At 38.0% G+C, this 11,541-nt stretch overlaps 1 long non-coding RNA gene across 1 annotated transcript; it reads right to left on the bottom strand.

Annotated features, from left to right (window-relative positions):
* Positions 1-9,154: 9,154 nt before the first annotated feature.
* LOC124900957 (uncharacterized) lies at positions 9,155-11,541 on the bottom strand. The gene is made up of 2 exons (XR_007058726.1): positions 11,362-11,541; positions 9,155-11,255 (listed from the first exon to the last, which is right to left on the bottom strand). It is a non-coding gene; the product is annotated as an uncharacterized LOC124900957 (long non-coding RNA).

Raw genomic sequence — 11,541 nt, 5'->3', positions numbered from 1 at the left:
ATAATCTCTTTTGACTCCATGTTCATATTCAGGGCACTCTGGTGCTAGGGGTGGGCTCCCAAGGCCTTGGGCAGTTCTATCCTTGTGGCTCCACAGGGTATAGCCCCTGTAGCTTCTCTCACAAGTGGTTGAGTGCCTTCAACTTTTCCAGATGCAAGATGCTGGCTGCCAGTGGCTCTATATTTTTCAGATCCAGATGACAGTGGCCCCCTTCTCACAGCTCCACTAGGAAGTGCCCTAATAGGGATCCTGTGTGGGAGCTTCAACCCCACATTTCCCCTTGTCACTACCCTAGTAGAGCTTCTCTCTGGGGACTCTGTCCCTGTAGCTAGCTTGTGCATGGACACCCAGGTCTTCTTATATATCCTCTGAAATCTAGGTGAAGGCTGCCCAGAATCCACCACTCTTGCACTCTGTGCACCTGCAGGCTTAATGCCACGTTGAAGCCACCAAGGCATAAGGCTTGCATTCTCCAAAGTGGCAGCTTGACTTGTACCTGGGCCCCTTTGAACCCTGGCTGGAGTTGGAGCTACAGCAGCTGAGATGGGGGAGCAGTGTTGCAAGGTTGCCAGGGCAGCATAGCCCTGAACCTGACTTACAAACCCATTCTTTCCACCTTGGCTTCTGAGCCTGTGATAGGAAGGGCTGCTGTGAAGGTCTCTGAAATGCTTTTGAGGCCTTTTCCCCATTGTCTTGTATATTAGCACTTGGCTCTCTTTTAGTTATACAAATAGTCTCTAGCAAGTGGTTGCTCCATAGCCTGCTTGAATTCTTCTTGCAAAAAAGATTTTTTTTTTTCTTCTGCTACATGGCTAGGCTACGAATATTCCAAACTTTTATACTCTTTATATGTTGAGTATAAATTTTAATTTTAAGTTATTTCTTTGCTCCGGCATCTGGATTTAGGTTGTTAGAAGCAGCCATGACACATCTTGAACACTAACACTTTGCTGCTTAGAAATTTCTGGCCAGGCGCAGTGGCTCATGCCTGTAATCCCAGTACTTTGGGAGGCTGAGGTGGGCGGATCACGAGATCAGGAGATTGAGACCATCCTGGCTAACACAGTGAAACCCTGTCTCTACTAAAAATACAAAAAAATTAGCTGGGCATGGTGGCAGGCCCTGTAGTCCCACTTACTTGGGAGGCTGAGGCAGGAGAATGGCATGAACTCGGGAGGCGGAGCTTGCAGTGAGCCGAGATTGCACCATTGCCCTCTAGCCTGGGCAACAGAGTGAGACTCCATCTCAAAAAAAAATTAAAATTAAAATTAAAAATAATAAAAGAACTTTATTTCACCAGATACCCTAGGCCAGCACTCCCAAGTTCAAACTGTCACAGATCTCTAGGGCATTGACACAATACAGCCACATTTTTTACTAAGGCATAACACGTGTGATGTTGGCTCCAGTTCCCAATAAGTTCCTCATTTCCATTTGAGACCTCATCAACTGGGACTTTACTGTCCATATCATAATTAACATTTTGGTTACAACCATTTAACTTTCCCTCATCTTCCTATCTTCTTCTGAGTTCTCAAAACTCTTTCAACCCGTTCCAAAGTTGCTTCCACATTGTCAAATACCATTATTGCAATGCCCCAATCCTTGATAAGATTTTCTGTATTAGGACATTCCTGCATTGCTATAAAGAAATATCCAAGATTGGGCAATTTAAAAAGAAAAAAAGTTTTAACTGGTTGACAGTTCCGCAGACTTTACAGAAAACGTAGTGCTGGCATCTGCTCCTCCTCTAGAGAGGCCTCGGGAAGCTTATAATCATGGCAAAAGGTGAAGAGGGTGCAGGCATGCCATATGGTGAAAACAGGGACAAGTGAGAGAGAGAATGGGAGGGGGTGCCACACACTGTTAAACGACCAGATTTCACAAGAACACTCTATTGCAAAGACAGCACTGAGGCATTAGAGATCCACCCTGATGTGGTTTGGCTCTGTGTCGCCACTCAAATCTCATCTTGTAGCTCCAGTAATTCTCATGTGCTGTGGGAGGGACCCAGTGAGAGATAATTGAATCGTGGGAGCTGGTCTTTCCTGGGCTTTCTCATGATAGTGAGTAAGTCTCACAAGATCTGATAGTTTTAAAAAGAGGAGTTCTGCTGCACAAGCTCTCTCTTTGCCTGCTGCCATTGATGTAACATGTGACTTTCTACTCATCTTCTGCCGTGATTTTGAGACCACCCCAGCCGTATGGAATGATAGCCCATTAAACCTTTTTTCCTGTATAAATTACCCAGTCTCAGGTATGTCTTTATTAGCAGTGTGAAAACAAACTAATACAGGAAATTGGTACCAGTAGAATGGAGCATTGCTGAAAAGATACCCAAAAATGTGGAAGCAACTTTGGAATTGGATAACAGGCAGAGGTTTGAACAGTTCAGAGGGCTCAGAAGAAGACAGGAAAATGTGGGAAAGTTTGGAACTCCCTAGAGTTCCAATTTTGGAACAATTGAGAAACTGCTGTTGAAGGGTTTTGGCCAAAATGTTGACAATGATATGAACAATGAAATCCAGGCTGAGGTGGTCTCAGATGGAGATAAGGGACTTGTTGGAAACTGGAGCAAAGATGACTCTTGTTATGTTTTAGCAAAAAGACTGATGGCATTTTGCCCCTGCCCTAGAGATCTGTGGAACTTTGAACTTGAGAGAGATGATGGAGGGTATTTGGTGAAAGAAATTTCTAAGCAGCAAAGCATTCAAATGGTGACTTGGGTGCTGTTAAAGGCATTGAGTTTTATAAGGGAAGCAGAGTGTAAAAGTTTGGAAAATTTGCAGCCTGACAATATGGTAGAAAAAAAATCCCATTTTCTGATGAGAAATTCAAGTCAACTGCAGAAATTTGCATAAGTAAGGAGGAGCTGAATTTTGATTCCCAAGACAATGGGGAAAATATCTCCAGGGACTGTCAGAGGACTTCACAGCAGCCCCTACCCAGAACCATAGGCCCAGGGCCTAGGAGGTAAAAGTGGTTTTGTGGGCAGAATGGAGGTTTGGGAATCTCCACCTAGGCTTCAGAGCATGTATGGAAATGCCTGGATGTCCAGGCAGAAGTTTGCTGCAGGAGTCAGGCACTCATGAGGAACCTCTGCTAGGGCAGTGCAGAAGGGAATTGTGAGATTGGAGCCCCCACACAGAGTCCCCACTGGGGCACTGCCTAGTGGAGCTGTGAGAAGAGGGCCATGGTCCTTCAGACACCAGAATGGTAGATCCACTGACAGCTTGCACCGTGCACCTGGAAAAGCTGCAGATACTCAACCCTAGCTTGTGAAAGCAGCCAGTGTGGGGGAAGGCTGTATTTCGCAAAGCCACAGGGGCAAAGATGCTCAAGACCATGGAACCCACCTCTTGCATCAGTGTAACCTGGATGCCAGACATGGAGTCAAAGGAGATCATTTTGGAGCTTTAAGATTTTACTGTACCTCTGGGTACTGGATTTTTATGGAGCCTGTAGCCCCTTTGTTTTGGCCAATTTCTCCCATTTGGAATGGCTGTATTTACCCAATGCTTATGCCTCCATTGTATCTAGGAAGTAACTAACTTGCTTTTGATTTTACAGGCTCATAGGTGTAAGAAACTTGCCTTGTCTCAGATGAGACATTGGATTGCGGACTTTTGAGTTAATGCTGAAATGAGTTAAGACTTTGGGGAACTGTTGGGAAGGCACAATTGGTTTTGATGTGTGAAGACCTGAGATTTAGAAGGGGCTAGGGGTGGAATGATATAGTTTGGCTCTGTTTCTCTCCACAAATCTCATCTTGTAGCTCCCATAATTCCCAAGTGTTGTGGGAAGGATCCAGGGGGAGATAATTGAATCATGGGGGCGGGTCTTTCCTGTGCTGTTTTCATGGTAGTGAATAAACCTCATGAGAGCTGACGTTTTTAAAAAGAGGAATTCCCCCGCACAAGCTTTCTCTTTGCCTGACATCCATGTAAGATGTGACTTTCTCCTCCTTGCCTTCTGTCTTGATTGTGAGGCCTCCCCAGCCATGTGGAACCGTAAGTCCATTAAACCTCTTTCTTTGGTAAATTGCCCAGTCTGGGGTTTGTCTTTATCAGCAGTATGAAAACAAACTAGACCCGGTGGTGCGGTGGCTCACACCTGTAATCCCAGCACTTTGGGAGGCCGAGGTGAGCGGATCGCAAGATCAGGAGATCGAGACCACAATGAAACCCCGTCTCTACTAAAAATACAAAAAAATTAGCCTGGCGTGGTGGCGGGTGCCTGTAGTCCCAGCTGCTCGGGAGGCTGAGGCAGGAGAATGGCGTGAACCTGGGAGGCAGAGCTTGCAGTGAGCCAAGATCACACCACTGCACTCCAGCCTGGGCAACAAAGCAAGACTCCGTCTCAAAAAAAAAAAAAAAAGAAAACAAACTAATACACCCTGTTACCCAAACACCTCCCACCAGACCCCACCTCCAGGACTGGGGATTACAATTCAACATGCGATTTGGTAAGGGACAACTATCCAATCTATATCAATACATATGCCAGATAGATAGATAGATAGATAGAGAGATAGAGAGATAGATACACACACATACACACACCCACATATATATAAATGTGATTTTTGTAAAGCTTTATAAATTAATTTTTTACTTAAAACATATATTAAAGAGTGTTTCATACCAAGGTACATTTTTTTTAAACTGGCAATGGAGAATAGTCTCTTTATTAACTCATCATTAACCTAACCACTCTTCTTTTAATGAAGATTTTGGTTTCCAAGATTTTGCTGTTACCAAGAAAGCAATGAATATCTCTGAAAAACATACTTAGTCTATTCCCTTTATTTCATAGACTTTGTATCCACTTATTTTTGGCAGATATTAGCATATTATTTTGTGTTCTTGCTAATAAGTCCATAATTTACAAGGACTGGTGATTACTCATTCTTTCCATGTTTACCCACAAGACATTTCCACAGCACAGCGACATGACCATTGGTTTTCTAATGTTTTCCACCAGCCGTCTCTGCTCATTCACATCACACCCAGAACACATCTGAAGTGGGCTGTTGTTGCATCATATTTCCAAGCATTAAAAACTTCGAGGTGCCCAAAAGAGCAGATCTCCTTGTAGTCTTTAGTTGCACTGGTGTCATAACATGGTTCAAATAACTGTAGGAATAATTTTCTACTCAGGCTTCTTAACTAGCTTTATGGTTCTTTTCTCAGAAGCACATTTTTGCTTAACTCTACATTCCCTGATTGATCTTATCTCTGACCTCATGCAAAAATATCTTCCAAGGTCTATACACCTTGACATCAACTATGTAAATTTGATACCTAGGGTTCATTGTTTTCAGTGTAGTGTTTTGAAACATTTCTAGATCTTCATTTTCTATTTTAGAAATGCCTCATAAGCTGTGGAGCTTTAAAAGTTATTTTTCTGCTGTATAGAATTGGTTTACAATAGAAAATGTATGGAAATATTGTAAGGAGTTTATTGTATATCAAAGTCAGACATCCACATATAAGCAGTGGGCAAGGCTGTCTGATTTCAAATTTATTTTCATGCATAAATCTGTGATGGGTGATTTTTAACATTCACATTTGGCTTCTAAGACCTGTGTGTGAGTAGGTGAGATCAAACGTAGGTAAGGAGCAGTTTCTATCTTACTTGGAAATGTCTTCTTTATTGACACATGTACTTTGAAGTTTGAGCGGTTACTCCATTTCTTAGGACAAAAGGACGATGAATATCACAAGTGGTTTAAGATAGAAACAGTCCTGTAGTATTTTTATTAACCTAGTTTTCTTTGCTTTTTCCATACCTATGAAAGTTAGTTATTCCAAAGTCAGGAAAAAGAATTTAACTGATATTAAACTCTTACACTTTAGCTTAAAAGTTTAGAGAATTAAAGGTGATGTAGTTCATCAGTAGGTTTTAAATTATTATAACTATTCTCGTTAAAAGATGTAATATAATCTATAAAATGAAAAAAACAAACAAGGTTTTAAAAATATATTGGATATGCAAAGCCCTGAATATTTTGAAAGTATTGCATTAAGGCTAGTAATAAACAAATATGTGAGATTTTAAAATGCATATGGGATAATAAAAAATATTGACTATTTTTAAAATCAGAGATATCAAATATAGTTCTATAGATGTAGTTTTTCAAGATAAGATGTGAAATATATACTTATATGAATAGCTAACCAACAAAAATATACATGAAATTAAAATGTGAAATCAGTTCAAGCAGGTGAGATCATAGTTTACCCTGTTACTTTTGACTTCAGTTAAATTATATGGGGTTTTACCACTTTGCATAGAGACAGGTGATATAAATGTAAACAGATGTGCAGAAGTGAAGCCATTACATTTTTGACATATTAAGATGCAAGTGTCTAAGAGTCATGAGTGTGGATATTAATAGTAGTTGGGATCTCAGAAGAAATCAAACCTCCAAATTTTAAATATGGAGAACCAGAAGTGTCTCAGTAGGGAACCTGGGATACGTAATGCTTAGATGTTGGAGGCTGAACCAAAATCCAAATGACAAGAAGTTGGGAATTCAAAAGTGAAAGTGATCATTATTTTCACTTGCATCAGAGAAGTCTAGAAGATCAGTGTATTCATAGAGACATTATGTTTCCATTCAAAAGTGATACATTCTTTTAGAAAGAGCAGTTTCAATGGAACAGAGAGCTCAGAGCTACATGTATTGCAATTGGTTATAAAATAGGAGTTGAGGAAATGACTGCTAGGCATAAAATCTACTCTCAATTTTTCTTCCTTTGATCTCCTATCAGATCAGTTATTTTGTAATAAGTAAATAACTATATAGATAAAGTTGATTGATGAAAATTAAAACTGATAATAATAAATAATTATGCTAACTTTTATAATGAGGACACAATGAGCTCAAAGAGAGACAGTTCTTTACTATAAGTACTTATGGGCATGTAGGAGAAGGCACTGAGTAGTCAATGAATTGTACATGTGTGACAGAATTACATTGTTTGACTCCTTTTTATGGCAGTGTAACAGGGGCTTGTAAATTGACATACCGTGGATTAAATTCTATCTACACAGTCTTGATAGAAACAATAAATTTGAATGTCATTTAAAAAGTATCATTTCTCTGGTTCACCACAGGCCATACAGCTCTCTATTATGTTACAGCTAGTTCATTCATATATTTATTTTTACTGCTTGATCCCTGTAGGTACCAGTAGGTATTTGAGTCTGAGATGGTGGAATAAGGCAGAAACACACATGATACATTCACCTTCATCTAACACCAAATATTGCTATGGCTATCCTGGGATTTTCCCTCTAGAACCCTGCTTTATTATATGTGACTCAACTTTCTCAAGTTCTCTGTAACTGAGATCACTAATCAATCCACCTGAAAACTCATACTCACTGAGCTACCAAATCAATATGAACATTATGTATACTACATCATGAAATAACCAGAGACCTTATTATGATGCCACCACCTTAGACTCAGAAACCAGAGTCTCATCAATGACACATTAAGAGTAATCTGTGCCTAAAAAGAAACCTCCTCGGCCGCTCACATTGAAAGGATCCAAAAGTAGTTCACATTCCTAACTGTGATCAGCCATTATATATTATTTTTCTGTAACTGTAAAATTAATATGTTCGTGTTAACTCTTGGAAGTAGTAAAACTAGAAAGATTACAATTATCACTCATATTATCTCATCATCTAGAGCTGATTCCAATAGGATCTGAAAAAATTAAGTTGAAATCTATTATACCAGAATGCTAGGAATATTTCTGAAGTGAATGTGTATACATAAAAGTGTCACCTGTTTAGCAAAATTATAGGAAGAAAGGAGCAGTATGCCTCCATTTCAGGGCAATGAGAACAGCTTACTCGGACTCTTGCATGTGTGGCATGTAAAGCACGTGCAATACCTATTCAACAGAAACGAGGATCCTTCCTAATAGTAATGGCTCATTATAATTTCAAAAGTCACATTAAATTAGGTATGCAGTAGAGAGTTGAGCTTCACATGTTGTAGCTAGTTATCCAGTCAAGATACAGAAAATTTTCAACACCTCCCAAAATTCCTGATGTCCTCTGTAGTGCATCCCTCCCTCTCTCCAATTCTTGACCTAGGAACCACTGATGTCACAATAAATTGGCTTCCACTTACATTACTTTATATTTTTTGAAACAGAAAGTACTCTATTTTTCTGACTATTTCATTAAGTGTAATAATTTTGAGATTCATTCATGTTGCCATATGCATGAGTAGTTCATTCTTTTTTATTGGCAATCTTTCATTAGATGTTTATTCCTTATTTTGTTTAATCTTTTGATTCTTGAGCATACCTGCAATAGTTAATTTTATGCATCAATCTGAGTGGGTTAAGGGATGCTCAGATGCCTGGTAAAGCATTATTTTTAGGTGTGTCCATCAGGGTGTTTCCAGAAGAGATTAGCATGTGTATCAGTAGGACGAGTAAAGGAGATCTGTTGTCACCAATATGGGTGGTCATCATCTAGACTTTTGGGGCCTCTAAGAGAACAAAAAGGTGAAGGAAAGGCAAGTTCTCTCACTCTTCTTGAGCTGGGAAATCCACCTTCTCCTACACAAAGACATAGGAGCTCCTGGGTCTCAGGTGTTTGGACTTTGGGACTTATACCAGTGCCCACTAGTGAATTCAGGGAATAAAAAAGAGCATAACTAGAAAATACTTGTAAAAAACTAGTTATTTGAAAAATCAAACATAATGACATATACTAGATAATTAATCGAGAACAAAGAACACAAAATTGCACAAAATAGGAATGAATTTTACACACCTCTTTGTAAATACATTTGTAAAGCTCAAGTAAGAGAATTTTATGTTTTTACAAATTTTAAAAATTCAAAACACTAAGCTAACTTGAGAAATAATTTAAGCCAACTATACATAATACATTAAATAGAGAACACAATGAAAAATCTCCCACAAATATTACTTTCAGCAAGGTTGTCTCACATGGAAATTCTATTAAATCTTTTAAAATATGATAATCGCAGTGCTATTAACTATTTCCAGGCATAGAAAAAGAATGATAACTTATAAAACCATTTTATAAAGAACATGAAATATCGATCCCCAAAAACTGTTTTGTCACAAACAACACAATATTATATAACTTGGACTATTGTTTGTAATATCGTTTAATTGGTGTATTAGTCCATTCTCACACTACTATAAAGATTATAAACAAAGAAGGTTTAATTATCTTATAGTTCCGCATGGCTGAGGAGACCTCAGGAAACTTACAATCATGGCCGAAGGCTAAAGAGGCACATCTTACATGGTGGCAGACGAAAGACAGCAAGCAAGAGCAGGGAAAACTGCCTTAAATAACCATCAAATCTTATAAGAACTCACTATCATAAGAACAACATGGGGGAATCTGCCCCCATGATCCAACCACTTCTCACCTAGTCCCTCCCTTCACATGTGGGGATCATGGGGATTACAATTTGAGATAAGATTTGGGTGGGGACACAGAGCTAAACCATATCAATTGGCTATATAACTCTTACAAATAAATACACTAAAGTCTCTCTAGAATGTTACATTTGGTTTTCTGATTCCAGAGCTGAAGAAATTCCCAGGCTTCAAGTGGTTTAAACAAATTTGTTTCATATTTTACTAAAAATGTGTGTTCTCAAATGGGGCAATCATAAACAAAAGTCTACACTATAAATAATATCATTTACTTGAATATGCAATACAAAATGCAAACATCTAGGATATACCACTAAGAAAAAATAAGTAAGTGGTTCCTGTTAATGAATGACATGATAGAGAATAAAAAGCCAATGCTTGCATACTTTCTATTAAATATTATAAGGTTATTATCTTTGTTGTTACCTATGATCTTAATTACTGAAGATAACTTATGACTCATTATGATTGTCCCCTAGCACATTAAATGAGCCTTTCCCCAGCCAAGGGAAATTAATGTGCCTTGTTAAATTTTAAGTTGATTGGTATCTATTTCTTGAATGTTAGGCATTTAAACATATTAAACATATTAATTTTAATTTAAACATAAAATAATAATCCTAATTTCTTTTCCTGCTAACATTCATTGACCCTAATAGTAAACTCTATGATTAACAAAACAAACAGTACTAAAGAAGCACTGATTATTTTGATCAATTAAAAAAACAAGATATACACAAATAACTTTAAAATATATTAAATTACTTTAGTAGAAGCTGCCATCGTAAAATACCACTCACTGGATAGCTTAAAAAACAAATATTTTTTTTCACAGTTTTCATTATCAGACAATTTCATGAAAACAAAAAATAAACAATAAAATAAAAATTTAAAAAATATGCTTTTTCTAATTAAAACTCTAAAAAATACATAGTTAAGAAAATAAGGCAAACCACAGAATTAGCAAACATGTAGCACCACTTACATCTGAATAAGTTATTGTATTCAGAATATGTTTAAAAATCTTATATATAATACTCTACTACCCCAAAAAATTCACAAAATAGTATTTTATAAAATAAGACTAATGGATAACTAAGCCTATGTGAAAACATCATTAATTATTAAAATTTAAGAGAAAACAATAGGATGCCATTTTTATGCCCTTCAAAAGTGCCAAAAAGAACAACAAAAACATGACAATATCAAGTGTTAACAACAATGAAGAACAACCGTAATTCCTACACAGCTGAGGCGAGATTGTAAAATGGAATTACACCACTCTGGAAAAGTATGCAGCAGTTCATTAAAGATTCAAATATAAATATACACTCTAACTTTGACATTCCATGCCTAAGTATTCCACCAAGACAGAGGAGATCATATATTCCCACGTAGATTTGGAGCCGGTTATTCATCAGAACTTGATTTACAGTAGACGGGAATTTGAATCAAATCCAACCAACGGGTGAATAGAAGTGTACTCAGTAATACAAGTAATACACCAATGACACATACAAAAGCATGAAAGATTTTAAAAATTATTATGCTAAGTTAGAAAAATCAGACACAAAGGAATATATACTATAATATTCCATTTTTATAAAATTCTAGAAACTGCAGTCTTAGCCTGCTTTGGCTCTGTAACAAAATATCATAAACTAGGTAGATTATAAACAACATAAATTTATTTCTCATAGTTTTGGAGGCTGGGAAGTCCAAAATCAAGGTGCCGACAGACTGTAGGTCTGATGAAGGCCTGCTTTCTGGTTCCTTAATGGTGCCTTTTCACTGTGTCATTACCTAGAGGAAAGGGCAAAGCCGCTGTATTAGTCATGAGCCTCTAGAAGGACAGAACTAATAGGATAGATGTACATAGAAGGGGAGTTTATTAGGAGAATTGACTCACAAAGTGAGGTCCCACGATAAGCCATCTTCAAGCCGAGTAGCAAGCAAGCCAGTCTGAGTCCCAAAACCTCAAATGCAGGGAAGCTCACAGTGCAGCCTTCAGTCTGTGGCCAAAGGCCCAAGAGCCCCTGGCATACCATGGGTGTAAGTCCAAGGGTCCAAAAGCTGGAGAACATGGAGT

The sequence above is a fragment of the Homo sapiens genome, chromosome 5, assembly GCF_000001405.40.
Source record: "Homo sapiens chromosome 5, GRCh38.p14 Primary Assembly".
NCBI lineage: Eukaryota > Metazoa > Chordata > Mammalia > Primates > Hominidae > Homo > Homo sapiens.
Note: the sequence above shows the minus strand (reverse complement) of the source record. Positions and strands in the feature narration are given on the sequence as shown.